Below are 18711 nucleotides of genomic sequence, written 5' to 3'. Positions count from 1 at the left end.
GGGGCCGCACCCACAGACATACCACAAGACAGGCTGCTGCTCGATGACGGTCCGCTTGTTTTCCAGGGCTGCCGCCAAGCCCTTGCCCACGGGGAAGCCCTGGCGGGCCAGCTGGATGCTGGGCTGGAAGAGGCGAGCCCAGGGCAGCCGCCCATGCCGCTGGTGTGCCAGCTCATAGCCTCGGATCTCCCCAGGCACCGCCACCGACAGCCCCCCTGGGGAGAGAGAGCCATAGTTAGTGACCCTGAGTGGGGGACATCGGGATCTCTCGCAGGCAGCATCCCAGGCACAGTCCCTGACTCATTTTACAGATGGGGCAATGAGGCTTAGGAGGAAAGATTTTTTTTTTTTCTTTTTTGAGTTGGGGTCTTGCCATCTTGCCCAGCCCGATCTCGAACTCCTGGATTCAAGCGATCCTCCCACCTCAGCCTCCTGAGTCGCTGAGATTACAGGCGTGAACAGCACACCTAGCAGAAGGGGATTTTTAATTTTTAAATTTATTTTTTAATTTTAATTGTTTTTTTTTAGGAGGGGATGTTTAATTTTTTTTTTTAGGAGGGGCTCAGCAGGTAGGAGTGTACATGGACCAGGGATGTCTGAGGAGGGCACAGCAGGGGAAGCAGTAGCATGCGGCTGGGTTTTGCTGTCCCAGGATGAGGTGTCTGTCTGTGCAGGTGCCTGCATGTCTAAAATCCTGTGCCAGGCCAGACCCCCTCCCATCTCACTGACCACAAGGCCTTATCCTGTAAGACTCATGGGCTCCACGAGAATGTGCCAAAACAAGAGCAGATCCCACCTTGACCGAGGTCAAGCACAGGCCACCTTCAAGACACAGCCAGCCCCAAGAAAGGGCTCCCTGCCTCTTTTCTACGGCCCCAGAGAGGCAAGACTGAGCCTTAACCTCCGTCCTGTCCCCTCTCCCAGCCTCAGTTTCTCCATCCAACTATAAGGGTTTTTGTTTGTTTGTCTGTTTTGAGACAGGGTCTCATTCTGTTGTCCCAGCTGGAGTGCAGTGGTGCAATCATGGCTCACTGCAGCCTTGGCTTCCCAGGCTCAAGCGATCCTCCTACCTCAGCCTCTGAAGTACCTAAGACTACAGACATACCCCACTACACAGGGCTTTTTTTTTTTTTTTTTTTTTTCTGAGATGGAGTTTCACTCTTGTTGCCCAGGCTGGAGTGCAATGGCACAATCTTGGCTCACTCCAACCTCCACCTCCCGAGTTCAAGCAATTCTCCTGCCTCAGCCTCCCAAGTAGCTGGGATTACAGGCATGCACCACCATGCCTTGCTAATTTTTGTATTTTTAGTAGAGACGGGGTTTCACCAGGTTGGTCAGGCTGGTCTTGAACTCCTAACATCAGGTGATCCATCCTCCTCAGCCTCTCAGAGTTCTGGGATTACAGGCGTGAGCCACCATTCCCAGCCTAATTTTTTATTTTTATTTTTTGTAGAGACAGGGGTCTTGCTACGTTGCCAAGACTGGTCTCAAACTCTGGCCTCAAGCAATCCTCCCACCTCAGCATCCCAACATGCTGGGATTACAGGTGCACTCAGCCTATAAGGGGTTTTGCCTTCCAGTTCTGACTTTTGAGGAGGTCATTGGAAACACACCCCTGGGCCTGCTTCCCCCCTGAGCCCCGCTGCCCATAAGGACACTACAGACACTGACCCTTTGCCCAGAAAGGTACAACTATGGCCTCTGCCCCCAGGGACTCTCCTGCTCTTGCGAGAGATGATGGGGCCATTTGGCTTGGCTTGGCAGCTGTGGCTCTAGAACTGCCTCTCCCACCCTGAAGCCTGGCACAAGTTTCCAAGAGCTGGTGGTTTCAATTCCTAGAAGCTGCACATACATCCCGGAAGGTCTGACACCCAGCACATGATTCCTTCCACCTTGTAGTTAGACAGAAGTTATTTTTTGTTTTGTTTTGTTTTTCTTCTTTGTTTGTTTTTGAGATGGAGTCTTGCTCTGTCTCCCAGACTACAGTGCAGTGGCATGATCTCAGCTCACTACAACCTCCGCCTCCCAGGTTCAAGCGATTCTCCTGCCTCAGCCTCCCGAGTAGCTGGTATTACAGGCACAGGCCAGCACGCCAGGCTAATTTTTGTATTTTTAGTACAGATGGGGTTTTGCCATGTTGGCCAGGCTGGTTTCAAACTCCTGACCTCAGGTCATCCACCCACCTCAGCCTTCCAAGGTGCTGGGATGACAGGTGTGAGCCACCGTGCCCAGCCAAGACAGGAGAAGTTCTAATCTTTGATAGCAGACCAGGGTGACGATGCTTAGCAACAGTATTTTGTATATTTCAAAGTAACGAAGAGAGGACTATGGTGCTAACACCCAGAAATGAAAAATATTCAAGGTGACGGAGACTCCAAATACCCTGCCTTGATCATTATACACTCTATGCATGTAACAAGCACTCACATGTACCCATAAATATAGAAAATATCATGTATCAATATCAGAAAAAAAATCTTCTCCTGACCTCAGGCCAATCAGACTCTCATGCCAGCACACTTGCCAAGTTCTCTGGTGACCCCCACACTGCCAGACCCAGTGCCCCCTCTCAGCTTTACTGGGCTCATCACTTTCCCTGAGAGCTGCCCCTGCATCCCAGCACCTGGCTCCACCCGAGTCTCCCCCGCCTGCCATCCTAGCTCCTACTCTCCCCTCTGTCTTTGCTCTCTCTCCTGGTGGTCTGCTTGACATCTGAGCTTCAGCCTCCATTTATGCACTGACAACTCTCAAATTGACCTGCTGGCCTGGGCTGCTCCTCCGATCACCAGACCTGAGGATCTACCTGCCTGCTCGAAGAAAGCATCTCAAACTTCAACGTGCCCAAAACCGAGCTCCTGAGTGTCTGCTCAACCTGCTTCCTGAGAACCCTGCCTGTCTCCATTAGGGTCACCCCATCCTTCCAGGTACAGACAAAAGATCAGGGGTCCCCGGGGACTCCCTACACAAGCGTCACACCCAACCCATCCTCAAATCCACAGACTCCACTTCCAAGTGTGTCTGTCCAGCGTCAGCCACTTCCCAGCACCCTCTCCACGAATTACTGCAGTGACCTCCAGACAGGTCCCCACATGCTCCCTGCCCCTTACACAGCAACCCACGGGGTCCATAGGCCAGATCCATCCCCTTCCACTCACATACTCCACGAGCCCCCACTTCCCTCAGACAGGAAGCAGAGGCTTCACCATAACCTAAGAGATCCCACACAACCTGGGCCATTTCCCTTGGATCACTTGCTGCAGCCTCCCCAGCTCCCCACAGGGCTCTGTCCCTGCCATCACACCTGGATAGCAGACCAGGAGATAACTCCCCTGACCCCATCTCTGCCTCTGGGTCTTTGCTCAGATGTCCCCTTCCCTGACTAGGTCACCCTCTATACAGTCCCAGATTTTGAGGCCCTCCAGACCTGTTTTTCTACAGCCCGTAACACACCTGCACCTGCCTAGTTTCTCCTCCCACCTGGAGTGTCACAGATTTCATCTGCCATCTTTGTTTTTCACCCCAGCTTCAGGAACAACAGCTGATTCTTTAAGAGAATACTCAATACATTCAAGTTAAATAAATGATTCTAAGAGTCCACAAGGTGCCAAGCCTATGATTCCCGCATTCTCTTACCCTGAGCAACTTCATGTCTACAAATGCTGAGTTTCTCAATGAGTATTAAAAAAAAATGAAAGATTGATCGGGCACAGTGGCTCACGCCTGTAATTCCAGCACTTTGGGAGGCCGAGGCCGGGGGATCACGAGGTCAGGAGATCGAGACCAGCCTGGGCAACATAGTGAAAACCCGTCTCTACTAAAAAATACAAAAAATTAGCTGGGCGTGGTGGCAGGCGCCTGTAGTCCCAGCTATTCGGGAGGCTGAGGCAGGAGAATGGCGTGAACTCAGGAGGCAGAGCTTGCAGTGAGCCGAGATCGTGCCACTGCACTCCAGCCTGGGCGACAGTCTGGGTGACAAAAAAAAAAAAAAGAAAAAAAAAAGAAAAAAGTCAAAGATTGAGTATGTTGCAGAAGACTCCAAAGGGCACCACCCAGGACCCCCACCTGAAGTCTAAGACCTGCTATGGTGAGTGTGTCCTGCCCCTCCATCCTCCAACTTTTTTTTTTTTTGAGACGGAGCTTCATTCTTGTTGCCCAGACTGGAGTGCAGTGGCATGATCTCGGCTCACTGCAATCTCCTCCTCCTGGGTTCAAGCGATTCTCCTGCCTTAGCCTCCTGAGTAGCTGGGATTACAGGCCTGTGCCACCACGCCTGACTAATTATTGTACTTTTAGTAGAGAAAGGGTTTCACTATGTTGGCCAGGCTGGTCTTGAACTCCTGACCTAGGTGATCCATCTGCCTCAGCCTCCCAAAGTGCTGGGATTACAGGCGTGAGCCTGTGAAAAAAAGGCCCAGCCTTTTTTTTTTTTTTGGCAGGGTCTCACTTTGTTGCCCAAGCTAGAGTGTAGTGGTACAATCATGGCTCACTGCAGCCTCAACCTCCTGGGCTCAAGTGATCCTCCCACCTTAGCCTCCCAAGTAGCTGGGAACATAAGCACACACCGCCACACCTAGCTAATTTTTTTTTCCGTTTTTTGTAGAGATGGAGTCTTGCTATGTTGCCCAGGCAGGTCTCAAACTCCTGGGCTCATGCGCTCCTCCTGACTTGGCCTCCTAAAGTGCTAGGATTAGAGGCGTGAGTTGTTGAGACCCTCCCATCCTCCAACTTTTATCTCACAATCTACTGTACCACCTTTGAGGACAGACAGTGGCTTCCTGGATGGACAGTGGCTTCCCTTCAGGTACCTGGGGAATTTGGGGGCCTCCTCTCCACTTAAGACCAGATTAGAAAAGAGAGACTCCACCTCACATTCTAGAGCACCATCCCCACAAATGAACAAATGAGTGAATGGGATGCCTGTTGAAAAGGCACGGTATAGACAGCCTGGGTTCAATTTTAGCTTCACCACCTCCCAGCTGTGTGACCTCAACTGATTTGCGTGACCTGTCTGAGCCTCAGCATCCCCACCCTGTAAAATGGGAATCCACACAGCATCCCCTAGCCCAAAGGAGCAGGGAGGGTTGTGAGAGGCTCATGGGTGAAAAGCACAGAGCAGAGTGTGGGCCCCAGTGAGCCCTGGTCCATGAGGTCTGCTAGCATAATAATTATTCTCTCCATGTGCTGCACAGAGTGGCCCCGGAGGCCTTAGCAGAAATAACAGAAGCTCCCGGCCCTTTACCATGGTGATGATGGTCCTGACCACTCATTGTGGGAGGGTGCTATGGGGACAGGAAGGGATGGGGGGTGACAGAACTGCCCCTGAACCCTGACGGGAGCAGGCTCCTGTGGGCAAGGCCCCTTCCCGGTGGCTCAGCCAGCTCTGCACCCACGCCCCAAGTCTGCCGCATGGCTTACCCTTCTGGGACTGCTCCGAGCTGTTGAACATGGTGGCAAAGGCCAGCCTGGGGGCCACCTCGCGGGCGTTGATGACCTCAGCTTTTCCTAGAAGGAGAAGCAGGTAGGCAGGCCCGCCCACCCAAACCCTTTATGCCACGTGAGCCTGGGGACCGCCCAGCTGTGCCTCGGCCCAACCCACACCCCCTGCCCCTCTCCCTCTCCTCTCCCGAGGCACTCACGTGTGGTGCTGTTGTAGATGGTGAGGAAGAGGCCACCCCCGATGCCCATGCTGTGGGCATTCATGAGCCCCACACACAACAGGGCTGCAATGGCTGCATCCACCGCAGAGCCACCGTCCCGCAGTGCATCCCTGCCATGTGGCACATAAAGGCATGAGAACCTGCAGGCTTCCACCCTGGCCCCGCATACACACCCTGCTGCCCACCTGCCCAAAGGAGGATGGAAGAGAAGTCCATTCGAGTTTTGGGGTTTTTGTTTTTAGTTTCTTTCTTTCTTTTTTTTTTTTTTTTTGAGATGGAGTCTTGCTCTATTGCCAGGCTGGAGTGCAGTGGCACGATCTCAGCTCACTGCAACCTCTGCCTCCCGGGTTCAAGCCATTCTCCTGCCTCAGCCTCCTGAGTAGCTGGGACTACAGGTGCATGCCACCACGCCCAGCTAATTTTTGTATTTTTAGTAGAGACGGGGTTTCACCATGTTGGCCAGGCTGGTCTCTATCTCTTGACCTCATGATCCGCCTGCCTTGGCCTCTTTTTTTTTTTTTTTTTTTTTTTTTTTTTGAGACAAAGTCTCTCTTTGTTGCTCAGGCTGGAGTGCAGTGGTGTGATCTCAGATCACTGCAGCCTCAGTCTCCTGGGCTCAATTGACCCTCCCATCTCAGCCTCCCAAGTAGCTGGGACTATGGGCACATGCCACCATGCCCAGCCAATTTTGTTTGTTTGTGTATTTTGTAGAGATGGGGTTTCATCATGTTGCCCAGGCTGGTCAAGAACTCCTGTGCTCAAGTGATCCACCCACCTTGGCCTCCCAAAGTGCTGGTATTACAGGCATGAGCCACTGTGCCCAGCCTTTGTTTTATGAGACAGGGTCTCACTTTGTCACCCAGGATGAAGTGCAGTGGCACAGTCTTGGCTCAATGCAGCTTTGACCTCCTGGGCTCAAGCAATCCTCCCACTTCAGTCTGCTGAGTAGCTGGGACTACAGGTAAGAACCACCACACCTGGCAATTTTTTGTCTTTTTTGTAGAGATAGGGTCTTTCTATGTTGCCCAAGCTGGTCTCGAACTCATGGTCTAAAGCAATCCTATCGCCTCAACCTCCCAAAGTGCTGGGATTACAGTTTCCTCTTTTTCTTTTCTTTTCTTTCTTTTTTTTTTTCTGAGAGGGAGTTTCACTCAGTTGCCCAGGCTGGAGTGCAGTGGCATGATCTTAGCTCACTGCAACCTCTGCCTCCTGGGTTCAAGTGATTCCCCTGCCTCAGCCTCCTGAGTAGCTGGGATTACAGGCGCACACCACCATGCCCGGCTAACTTTTTATATTTTTAGTAGGGACAGAGTGCACCATGTTGGCCAGGCTGGTCTCGAACTCCTGACCTCGGGTGGTCTGCCCGCCTCAACCTCCCAAAGTGCTGGGATTACAGGTGTGGACCACCTTGCCCAGACAGTTTCCTCTTTATCAAGCAAACAAATGTACATGACTTTTATAACTGGGACAAAAAGGGAAATTGCTATACTTTATTAATAACATTTTTTTTCCCGGCTAGAGATGGTGGCTTACACCTGTAATCTCAGCACTTTGGGAGGCCAAGGTGGAGGATCACTTGAGGCCAGGAGTTCAAGACCAGCCTGGGCAATAGAGTGAGACCATCTCTAGAAAACAGTCTTTTTTAATTAGTCAGGTGTGATGCACGCCTGTAGTCCTAGCTACTCAGGGGGCTGAGGTGGGAGGATCGCTTAAGCCCAAGAGTTCAAGGCTGCAGTGAGCTATGATCATGCCACTGCACTCCAGCCTGGGTGACAGAACAAGACCCTGTCTCAAAATATGAAAAACATAATATTTTTTCTGTTTAAGTCTTTAGGAGGGAACTGATCTTTGTATATAACATGAGATAAGAGTCTAAAATAGAATAAAACAGTAGAAGCCAGGCACCATGGCTCACACCTGTAATCCCAGCACTTTAGGAAGCTGAGGCGGGAAGATCACTTAAACCCAAGAGTTTGAGGCTGCAGTGGGCTATGATCGCTCCCCTATACTCCAGCCTGGGTAACAGAGTAAGACTCCACCTTAAAAAAAGAATAAGCCCGGCCGGGCATGGTGGCTCATGCCTGTAATCCCAGCACTTTGGGAGGCCAAGGCAGGCGGATCACCTGAGGTCAGGAGTTTGAGACCAGCCAGACCATTATGGTGAAACCCTGTCTCTACTAAAAATACAAAAATTAGCCGGGCGTGGTGGCGGATGCCTGTAATATCAGCTACTCAGGAGGCTGAGGCAGGAGAATCACCTGAATCCAGGAGACGGAGGTTGCAGCGAGCCGAGATTGCGCCACTGCACTCCAGCCTGGGAGACAGCGTGAGACTCCGTCTCAAAAAACAAAACAAAACAAAACAACAACAAAAAAGAATAAGCCCTTCATGTCCCTGTTTGGGCAACAGTGTTCCTTGGGGGGAGGGGGGAGGGATGGCATTGGGAGATATACCTAATGCTAAATGATGAGTTGGTGGGTGCAGCACACCAACATGGCACATGTGTACATATGTACATATGTAACAAACCTGCACATTGTGCACATGTACCCTAAAACTTAAAGTATAATAATAATAAAATAAAATAAAAAAAAAGAAAGAAAGAAATTGTCTCCTAACCAAAAAAAAAAAAAAAAAAAAAGAATAAGCCGGGCGTGGTGGCTCACACCTGTAATCCCAACACTTTGGGAGGCCCAGGTGGGTGGATTACCTGAGGTCAGGAGTTCAAGACCAGCCTGACCAACATGGTGAAACCCCATCTCTACTAAAAACACCATAATTAGGCCAGGAGCAGTGGCTCACACCTTAATCCCAGCACTTTGAGAGGCAGAGGTGGGAGGATCACAAGGTCAGGAGTTCAAGACCAGCCTGGCCAACATAGCAAAACCCTGTCTCTACTAAAAATACAAAAATTAGCTGGGCATGGTGGCACATGCCTGTAGTCTCAGCTACTGTGGAGGCTGAGGCAGGAGAATCACTTGAACCTGGGAGGTGGAGGTTGCAGTAAGCCAAGATTGCACCACTGCCCTCCAGCCTGGGTAACAGAGCGATACTCTGTCTTGGAAACACACACACACACACACACACACACACACACACACACACACACACAAATTTGTTGGGCGTGGTGGCGCACGCCTGTAATCCCAGCTACTTGGGAGACTTAGGCATGAGAATCACTTGAACTTGGGAGGCGGAGGTTGCAGTTAACTGAGATTGCACCACTGCACTCCAGCCTGGCAACAGAGCAAAACTCCATCTCTAAATAAATAGATAGATAGATAGTAGATAGATAGATAGATAGATAGATAGATAGATAGATAGATAGATAGATAGATAGATGATAGATAGATAGATAGATAGATAGATAGGAAGAAATAAGTAAAAATAACAACCAAACAACAAAACAGTGCAGTTTATTCCAAAGAGACAGAGACTCTTAGAACTGAGAAAAGGGGCCCTGTTTGGCTCTAGAGACCCACACCCTGCTCTCGGAGTCACTGTCCCCTTCCCAAAGGCTACTGAGAGAGTCCAAGCGAAGCTTACACATGGGGAAACTGAGTCTCAGGGGGGTGAAGGTATTGCTCAGGTCCACTTGCCCAGTTTTCAGGGCCCATGTCCCATGCCCTGCCCTGCTCACCTCCCAATCTTCGAGCACTGCTTGGCATCCGCGGCCACGGCAGCCCTGGTGTACACATGGTTGTCAGGTTCCTTGGAGGCTGAGGGCAGCCAGAGACAGAGGCCGACAATGACCAGCACCAGGACCACGGCCAGCAGGCCCAGCACCACTAACTTCTTCTTCATGGCTCTGCTGCACCCACGGGGTAAGAAGCAGGGTCAGGCCTAGCCTCAGACATTCCCTGGCCCCTCCCCAACAGGGCACAGTCTAAAGTCGGGCCTCAGAAACACAAGGCCTGTGTCTCCTTCCCGCTTCCCAGAATACGTGCAGGCTGTCCGGCCCCCAGACCTTTGCGCAGGCCATGCCCTCTGCCAGAAGCTCTGGGCCTCATCTCTGCCCTCCCAAATCCTCCCTGCTTATCTTCAGAGCCCATCCTGGTAAGAACCCCATCTCCAGCAGCGGCCCTTCCTGGGAGCCCCCAGATTTCCACACCCCTCTTTCTGCAGGGCCTTGCCTACCTCCTTACAGTGGCTGAGCCTCCACTGCTTAGGGAGAAGCTCCAGTAGGGATGGGCCTGGCCTGGTTTCTCCTGTGTCCCCCACCCCAGCCTAGAGCCTGGCACTGTCCAGGAGTCCTCTGAAGACCCTCCACCCCACCTGGAGCATGGGGTTTAGCTTCCATAGTGCCCACAATCAGAGCGCCCCACAGATTCACTGCCACGGGGCCAGGACTTACCGTCCAGCAGCAGACGGGGGCCCCAAGCCTTGCCTGGGGTGTTGGCCACGAAAGACAGGAGGATTTGGTGGAAATAGCTGAGGAAATAACCGGGGTCTCCCTCACACTCTGCTGAAGCCTGTAGCCACAGAATCTTCTTCAGGGACTCTCTGATCAGGCAGCCTTCTCGTTCTCCTGAAGGTCAAGGGAGGTTACCTGAAGCACGCGCAGCCCAGACCTTTCTGGGGGACTCCGTGTTACCTCCCTCTGCCTCTAGCTGGTTTCTCTGTCTCCAGTTGAACTCTGGAGGCAAAGAGGCTGTCAGTAACACATTTGTTTCCATGAATTCTCTCAGCATGTCTCCCAGGCACAGCTCAAAGAGGGTTTTGCACGGAGCAGGGCAGGTAGGGGACAGGGCATTCCTGCAGAAGCCCAGGATGTGCATGTGGTCAGCATGGCAAAGGGGGCTCAGGGGGCACCGCCAGCCTGCCCTGCTCTGATGCTGGACTTGCCACTCACCTGCTGTGGGGCCTCAGGCAAATCACTGAACTGTCCAGCCTGGATGACGGCAGCACCTCACTTGCCTTGCTGCTGGGAGTGTTGTGAATAGAGTAGGTTAGACTGTGGGCAGGGCTTGGTGAATGGTAGCTGTGATTATCATCATGGCTGCACTGGGGACACCCCCAGGAGGCCTGAGTGGCACAGGTCTCTTGCTCACTGTATGTCCCCTGTGGACTCCCTTCCAGGCTGTGCAGTGAGTGGCAGCAGTGACCCTTGGGAAGTCTCATGGCTATGGCAGCAGGTGACAGGTGTGACAACAGGGAAGAGGGATGTGGTGACAGAGGTTGGGGTTCCCCTCTCCCACAGTCAGTTTCCCACAAAGGGCGGTGTCTGCCAGCAAGCCCCTCCAATGAGCCCCAAGCTGGATTTCCCTCCACTCCACCCTGTCCCAGTGCAGAGCGTCTGACCTCAGAGGCAGACACACTGTCCCAGAGGTGGTCTACGAATGGAGTCCCTGTGCCCTCCCCACACACAGGGAACATCCAAATGCCATCATGGAAGGGTGGCCACCTCCCCAGGCTTGGTGGGCCTGGGGCCGATAGTGTGATTCATTTGACCCCCTCCCAGCCCTGGATGCAGACACTAAGAGCAGAGAGACCTGGCAGTAGTCATGCAGCAGCGCACCACCCCACATCCCCAGCACAATCCAAAGCAGCCCCTCATCCCCACCGTGACCACCACAGCCTGAATCCAGGCGCCACCTGTTTCTGACCTGAACTCCCTCACAGCCCCTGCCTGCACTCCCTCCCTCCAACATCACCTGCCCTTCAGTCTTCCAGAAAGCAGCTAGAGGGCTCTGTCTGTCCAACTGCAGAACAGGCCCTGCCTCCTCCCTGCCCCGTTGGACAGCTCACACCCTTCACCAGGCCTGACAGCGCTCTTGCCACTCCGACACCCCGGGTCCCAGCTGGGAGTCCGGGTCAGGGTTAAGGGTTCCTGATAGAGACACCGATTCCTGGAGGTCCAAAGAGCCTCAGGAGCTGGGCCAGCAATATGCAGCATCTATTATGGACACAGAACATTCCCATCACATGGCCGGGTGCAGTGGCTCACACCTATAATCCCAGCACTTTGGGAGGCAGAGGCAGGTGGATCACCTGAGGTGAAGAGTTTGAGAACAGCCTGGCCAACATGGTGAAACCCCCATCTCCACTAAAAATACAAAAAATTAGCCAGGCATGGTGGCAGGTGCCTGTAATCCCAGCTACTCAGGAGCTGAGGCAGGAGAATTGCTTGAACCCAGGAGGTGGAGGTTGCAGTGAGGCAAGATTGCACCACTGCACTCCAGCCTGGGCAACAAGAGTGAAACTCCGTCTCAAAAAAAATGCAAAAAAACAAAAACAAAAGGACATTTCCACCACAAGTCATGGGGCAGGGGCCTGGCCTGGTCAGTGACCCCGTCCTAGCATGACAGCCCCCTGCACCAAGGAAGCTACCCAGTCCCGTCCACTGGGCCGGGTCATGCTGAGTGCCCTGGAGGGCATGGCCTCATCTCTCCCAGGCTCAGGGTCATGAGCTGAGCCCCCGGTCAGGGTCCTGGGGTGGTCCAACCATGACCCAGCCTCGCCTGTCTGTTAATCTGTCTACCCAAAGGCCCAAGTAGGCTGCTGGAGGAGCAGGGGACACCCAGCCAGGCTCAGACTGCTGGGAAGAACAGGGAGGGGAGTAGGCAGTGCTGGGCCCTGTCCCTTCCTCCCAGGGCAGGTCAGCAAGGGAGGGTGGGCCCAGCCTCCCACAGGCAGATGTCCCCGGATCGGAGGAAGACACCCTGCTGAGGTCCTGGGCTTCCATTTCCCATCCCTCCACCCTAAAAACTCACTGAAAGAATGTCCAAGCCCAGAGGCCTGGTTCTCACCCAAACAGCGTGAGAGCTGCACACACTAGGGGAAACTGAGGCTAGAAAGTAGGTCAGCTGCCATGGTTGGCCTCAAACCCAGACCCCCTTCCTTGGGACCCTGATGGGCTTACCTGAGGCCTGGGGACAGTGGGGGCCCAGGAGAGCACCTCTTCCTCAGAAGACAGTTCTGGGCTGCACCCGCTGGGGAGGAAGAGACAGACTTGTCTGCCTGGGAAAGTCCCAGCCACAGAACTGGCTGGGCCCCCCGCCACTCTCCAGAGTGGCTCAGAGCCACGCCTGTGGCCCCCTGCAGCACTCCTCAGGGGGCCTCCGAATTGGGACTGGGATCTGGGGGTGGCCACCTCCGAGGAGGAGCAGAGGCAGGGAAGGAGCAGGAGCGGCCAGAGGACTCATGAGCTTACCTAGTCCAAGAGACCAGCCAGGGCGTGCCCAGCAGCCCCGGCGGACAGTGGGAGGCATCTGCACAGGGTGCAGGACAGGCAGGCCTCTCACGGAGGTCCAGCCTGGCTGGGAGGATGGGGAAGCTGACGTCACAGCAGCAAGGAGGCGCACAGTGACTTGGCATGGTGACTCGGCCTGTCACCACGTGACTAAAGTTCACGCAGCCCTGGGAGGGCCCTGGATGGCAGGTGCTATGAGCCGGGGAAAGGGTTTCCTTCCTTTCAGACTCAGTTCCCTCCAAAGGGCGCTGTCTGCCCACGAGCCCCTCCAGTGAGCCCCAGGCTGGTTCCCTCTGGCTCTCCCTGTCCCTGTTCAGAACATCTGAACTCACAGCCAGTGTCCCAGAGATGGCTCTGGAGGCGGTGGAGTAGTGGTGCCCCTGGCACTAGACCAGAACCCAGCCTAAGGGGCCTCACCACACGCTGCTGTCAATGCTAAAGGTGTGTTCCGGGAACATGGCCTGGGGCCCTGAGTGCAGACTGGTTCTGCTGCCCATCCAGAAACATTAGCACCCCAGGCCCAAGGAACCACCCGAACAGCCCAGAAAGGCAGGGCCCAGAGAGGGCCTGAGCTGGCCCAAGCTCACAGAGCCCAGCAGTGCAGGCTTGGCCACCTGGTAACTGCCCCAAGTTACTGCATGTTTCTGACCAGCCCACCAAGAAGTCTGAGCCAGGAACAGCTGCGGACCCAGCCCAGGGGACTTTGGACAGTGCTGCCCATTCCCCTGTGGCCCTCATCTGCCAAGGATATGGGCCAGAGTCTCCCTGAGTCATGGCTCCCTCCCCTGCTCCTGGGCCTGCTGTGTCTACGGTGCCGGAGAGCCCCTGCAGCCTCCACCTGAGGTCTATTCCGTGCCCATAACACCTACCCCACAATCATGCTTCCAGGCTGCCCCAGCTGACAGAAGGGGACATGAAGGCTGACCCAATATTGCTGCCTGCCTGGGTCACATAGGCCTGTCCTGTCATCCACTGCTCTCAAATGGGCTCTGGACAGAACCCACCAGACACACAACTGTGAGATCCTCAATAGCCCTAGGGTGGAGGTGCTGTGACCAAGTCCTTTCCCAGGCTATTCCTCCCCGTGAAGATCAGGGTGACTGGGAAGATGACAGGGCAGGAACCAAGGTCCCATGACCTGTCCCTGAAGGCTAGACAGCCAACAGGAACATCAGGGGATTTGGCCCTGCTAAGTGGCTGCATTCCATGGCAGTCAGCCAGGAGGGGTCTAAAGTGGAGAGCCACAGGGCTCTGTCCCCTGCCCCGGCCTGCTCAGCAGTTTCCTCTCTGCCTGAGAGCATATAAGACATGCATGTTCTCACTCATAGGTTGGAATTAAACAATGAGAACACTTGGACACAGGAAGGGGAACATCACACACTGGGGCCTGTTGTGGGGTGAGGGGAACGGGGAGGGATAGCATTAGGAGATATACCTAATGTAAATGACAAGTTAATGGGTGCAGCACACCAACATGGCACATGTATACATATGTAACAAACCTGTACGTTGTGCACATGTACCCTAGAACTTAAAGTATAATTTTATATATATAATACTATATATAATATATTTATATGATATATTATATAAATTATATAAATATAATATATGATATATTATATAAATTATATAAATATAATATATGATATATTATATAAATTATATAAATATAATATATGATATATTATATAAATTATATAAATATAATATATGATATATTATATGTAATATATTATATATAATATTATATATTATATATAATATATAATACACATCATATAATATTATATAATATATAATACACATCATATATTATATAATATATAATACACATCATATATTATATAATATATAATACACATCATATAATATATAATATATAATACACATCATATATTATATAATATATAATACACATTATATAATATTATATAATATATAATACACATTATATAATATTATATAATATATAATACACATTATATAATATTAAATATATAATACACATTATATAATATTAAATATATAATACACATTATATAATATTATATATATAATACACATTATATAATATTATATATATAATACACATTATATAATATTATATATATAATACACATTATATAATATTATATAATATATAATACACATTATATAATATTATATAATATATAATACACATTATATAATATTATATAATATATAATACACATTATATAATATTATATTATATATAATACACATTATATATTGTTATATAATATATAATACATATTATATAATATTATATAATATATAATACATATTATAATATTATATAATATATAATACATATTATATAATATATAATACATATTATATAATATATAATACATATTATATAATATATAATACATATTATATAATATATAATACATATTATATAATATATAATACATATTATATAATATATAATATAATACATATTATATAATATATAATATAATACATATTATATATTATATAATATATTACATATTATATAATATATAATATAATACATATTATATATTATATAATATATTACATATTATATAATATATAATATAATACATATTATATAATATACTTTATATATTATATATTACATATAATATATAATATATTACATATTTTATATATATATATGACATACAGGATTCACAGCAGCAGGTGGGCAGAAAGAAAGTCTGAGTGGGCAAAGGATGGCCCAGATCCCTGCAGCTGACCCCAAAAGGAAAACCCTGGGCTGGGGAAAGTAGGGAGACAGAGCTGCCTTCAATGGGGCACAGCTGAAGCCTGGCAGCAGCTGAGGATTCCAGAGAGGGGAGACAGGAGGGGAGGCACTTTATCAAAGGACATGTTAATAGAGGTAGGGCCTACAGAATGAAGGAGGCTTTTCCTCACATGCTGAGTGTGTCACATTCTGTCCCAGTCAGCCCTCTACCCCCTGAATGCAGAGAGGGCACCTAGGGGGAAGTGGGTCTGGGGAAGCCATGTCACCTGAGGAAGGACTGCAGGGGCTGGCCTAGAAGTCTTCTCCAGACCCCACAGCTCTTGTCCTGGGCACATAAGGTAGTGAGTTCCCTGTCCCGAGAAATGTGCAAGCCTCACTCACCCAGAGACACAGACTCTGGTGTCAGTATCACCCACTTCCAACACACGTGCAAGCACGTGCGCACACACACAACTGAGCCTCATTTAGGCTGAGCAGAGCAGCTTCCCAGGATGCAGCAGAGAGAGGAGTATGAGGAAGAGGTAGACACGGCAGCCAGTCTGAAGTTTCCTGGTTAATCCTTCAACCCAGCTTGATGGCTTTGTCACCACAACCCCAGAGCCACAAGGGTGAAACCAGAGCACAGCCCCAACCCCATTCACAGGCAGGAAACTGAAGCTTAGACAAAAGGGATTTTACGAGGTCAGCTGGCCCCAGGAAGTCTGCAGACCTGCGGGTAAGCCCAGGACCCACCCACCCCTTACCCTGCCAGCCCCCAGCCTGGAGTCGCTATCCCTCGATATGAGAATGCACAGATCTCTGGCGTCTTCCCCAGGACTGCCTACAGCCCTGGACTGGATGCTTACTACCCAGACGTGGAGTTGGAATCTGTCTCTCACAGTTTCCACCCTTGCGGCACAGAGCCGAGAATCAGAAAAAACACCCCTTCAGTAAGATTTAATAACCACTACCTGCTGGAAACCTGTCGAAAGAACTATATATATCCCTATATATATAGCTGAGAGGTGGCAGGCGCCCCCTGGAGTTGGGCAATGACCCCTCGCACAACCGGCCCTGCCCCACCCCAATCCACAGCCACAAACAGAACCCAGGAGCGAGGCAAGCATGGCCCAAGGACACAGGGTCCCCCAACCCCATCACAGCTCTGGCTCTACTCCAGAGCTGACCCCCCGCCCCCACTCAGGGCTGCCAGATCCTCCAGGGCCTGTCTGTTCATGCTGCACTCTTTCCTCTTAATTCCAAGAAGCCACGGCTCTCTCAAGAGCTTCTTCGCACAAGTCAGGTGACTCCCCCCAGCCCTCCTTCACCCACTCGCATACCTCACTCAAACTCACATAAACTCATCAGCCAAGAAACAGAGGCCCCCAGCCCAGACCCAGTCGGATAAAGAACCCAGGGCTCTGCCCACCTGTGGGATCCTTCTGCAGGATGCGCCCACACAAGTCTTGCCCCCTTCACCCCGAAGTGCAACTCACTCCCACTGCACGGGTACATAAACCGAGGCTTGGAGAGGAAGAGGAACTCCTCTAGAGCGCAGCAAGCATATGGCAGAGCTGAGAATGGGACTCAGGCCTCCAGACACTCATGGGAGTGCCCTGACCTGAGCTTCCCCACCTATGATGTCCACCAGCTCAGAGAGGGTGAGCGGCGCCTCTGGGTCACACAGCACTGGGGCACAGCCAACTGCTCTCACTTCTGGGCTCACCCGACGCCCGGTCTGGTCATCCAGCAGCACACCAAAACCAAGCTAAGATTCCCTGCTGTGACCCAGCTCCTCCTTCCCTCCCCTAGTGGCCTGGGGGCGGGGCGGGGGGAGGGGAGGCTTTAAAGGCACAGGAACTGCTGCAGGTGGGATGTGGGCTGGCTCCTGGTCCCATCCCTGAGGCTGTGATCTGGGACCGCTGCAGGCTGCAGGTGTCTCTGAGCCCGGTGGGGTCTCAAACCCTGAATGAGAGACCTGAACTCTGAAAGCCTCGGTGGGGCTGAATGAGGCTGGGTTTCAGCGGGAGGCAGATTAGACCAAAGGTTCCCTGGGAGATGGGGCCACAGAGCTGGGCTGCAGCCAGATGCCCACGCCAGGAGGGGCTGGAGATGTAAGCATCTGAGGCCCCACAAGGTCTGAGGAGCCTAGTTCACCTCTACAACCCCAGGGCAGGGGATGCCTCTCCTAACAGGCCCTCTCCCCAGCTTGCAGGACTACAGGTGGGGCTCTAGGAGCTGTCACTCCAAGGACCCTGGTCACCTGGACTGAAGGGAGTCACATAATCCAGGAGGGTCCTTCCTTGACCCCCAATTTCAGGGGTCTGAGCAAACAGGCTGACCGAGGACCCCAGGCAACGGAAGCAGGGGGATGAGGCCCATCTGTCCATCTCATGCCCTCACCTGCTCTGCCCCATTCAATGAGATGGGGTGGGTGCCCCCACAGCGCTGGCAGGCCGAAGCCTCTAAGCCCTCAGATCGAGGTCCACACATGGTCTGCAGCCTGCCAGTATTGTCACTCTTAGCAAGGCTCACGCTTACGTTCCTTCTTTCATTCCATCATTCATTCTCCCATCAAATCCTGGCCCCTCCAGATTCTTCTCTCAAGGAGCCCTGACCTGGCTGGGCATGAGAGTATGGTCACCCCAGGGGGAAGAGCCCTAGGGAAGGGGCAGACACCAGAATAGGGGCCTTGGGAATCCAGCCCGAGCTGGGATTGGATTTGGGGAGGACCTGCCAGGCGGAAGGAACCACCTGAGCCTGAAGGCCAGGAAATGGAGCCTTTTCCAGGAAGTGAGGGCTGCAGGGGACCTCTTGACCACCCTAGGCCCGTCCTGAGCCCCGAGGTGTCAAAGCTGGAAAAGGAGGTGGCCGAGCTAAGACGTTCAAGGCCAGGCCAGTGTGGACTTTGAGAGCCCTGGGAGGCTGGTGAATGTGTCACCGGGCCCAGTAACCCATTAACCCTGGCTCACTCATTAAGACCCTGGTGGGTGTCCATTAGCTCCTTGGCCAGTTACAGGAGCTGGGCAGAGGGTAGGGGTCATGGGAAGAAGGGAGTGCTGATTGGGGTGCTAGGTAGAGGCTGGCTGAGCTGGCTCTTTTGTGTCCTTGTTCCTTGAGGAGGG

General features: G+C 51.5%; 1 protein-coding gene across 3 annotated transcripts in view, besides 5 other annotated features; it reads right to left on the bottom strand.

Moving 5' to 3' along the window:
• GGT1 (gamma-glutamyltransferase 1) overlaps positions 1 to 18711 on the bottom strand; it is a 45247-nt gene that overhangs the window by 8454 nt on the left and 18082 nt on the right. Inside the window, exons 1-9 of one of the 3 annotated variants that reach the window (NM_013421.3) lie at positions 17222 to 17350; positions 12520 to 12589; positions 11312 to 11553; positions 10510 to 10578; positions 10012 to 10185; positions 9298 to 9468; positions 5637 to 5767; positions 5416 to 5502; positions 23 to 215 (exon numbers count right to left, since the gene is read on the bottom strand). In NM_013421.3, coding sequence (NP_038265.2) covers positions 23 to 215; positions 5416 to 5502; positions 5637 to 5767; positions 9298 to 9461 — 575 coding nt within the window. In that variant the 5' untranslated portion in view covers positions 9462 to 9468; positions 10012 to 10185; positions 10510 to 10578; ... (1 more) ...; positions 12520 to 12589; positions 17222 to 17350. Of the gene's footprint in view, positions 1 to 22; positions 216 to 5415; positions 5503 to 5636; positions 5768 to 9297; positions 9469 to 10011; positions 10294 to 10509; positions 10579 to 11311; positions 11554 to 12519; positions 12590 to 17015; positions 17351 to 18711 lie in introns of those variants that run through there. The other 2 variants (NM_001288833.2, NM_013430.3) reach the window with 2 other exon arrangements.
• Positions 7627 to 7995: a silencer, noted in NCBI's record as "fragment chr22:25008515-25008883 (GRCh37/hg19 assembly coordinates)". NCBI's record gives its function as "represses an EF-1alpha promoter that drives an FKBP-Casp9 reporter gene in an ReSE screen in HepG2 liver carcinoma cells {active_cell/tissue: HepG2}" and the evidence as "EXISTENCE:reporter gene assay evidence [ECO:0000049][PMID:32094911]".
• Positions 12316 to 12846: an enhancer, noted in NCBI's record as "H3K27ac-H3K4me1 hESC enhancer chr22:25003664-25004194 (GRCh37/hg19 assembly coordinates)". NCBI's record gives its function as "activates a minimal SCP1, AML or CMV promoter by ChIP-STARR-seq in primed H9 embryonic stem cells {active_cell/tissue: H9 hESC(primed)}" and the evidence as "EXISTENCE:reporter gene assay evidence [ECO:0000049][PMID:30033119]".
• Positions 15537 to 16501: an enhancer, noted in NCBI's record as "H3K27ac hESC enhancer chr22:25000009-25000973 (GRCh37/hg19 assembly coordinates)". NCBI's record gives its function as "activates a minimal SCP1, AML or CMV promoter by ChIP-STARR-seq in primed H9 embryonic stem cells {active_cell/tissue: H9 hESC(primed)}" and the evidence as "EXISTENCE:reporter gene assay evidence [ECO:0000049][PMID:30033119]".
• Positions 16040 to 16129: an enhancer, noted in NCBI's record as "active region_18781". NCBI's record gives its function as "activates an Ori minimal core promoter by ATAC-STARR-seq in GM12878 lymphoblastoid cells {active_cell/tissue: GM12878}" and the evidence as "EXISTENCE:reporter gene assay evidence [ECO:0000049][PMID:35858748]".
• Positions 16502 to 17467: an enhancer, noted in NCBI's record as "H3K27ac-H3K4me1 hESC enhancer chr22:24999043-25000008 (GRCh37/hg19 assembly coordinates)". NCBI's record gives its function as "activates a minimal SCP1, AML or CMV promoter by ChIP-STARR-seq in primed H9 embryonic stem cells {active_cell/tissue: H9 hESC(primed)}" and the evidence as "EXISTENCE:reporter gene assay evidence [ECO:0000049][PMID:30033119]".

Source organism: Homo sapiens, chromosome 22, assembly GCF_000001405.40.
Source record: "Homo sapiens chromosome 22, GRCh38.p14 Primary Assembly".
NCBI lineage: Eukaryota > Metazoa > Chordata > Mammalia > Primates > Hominidae > Homo > Homo sapiens.
Note: the sequence above shows the minus strand (reverse complement) of the source record. Positions and strands in the feature narration are given on the sequence as shown.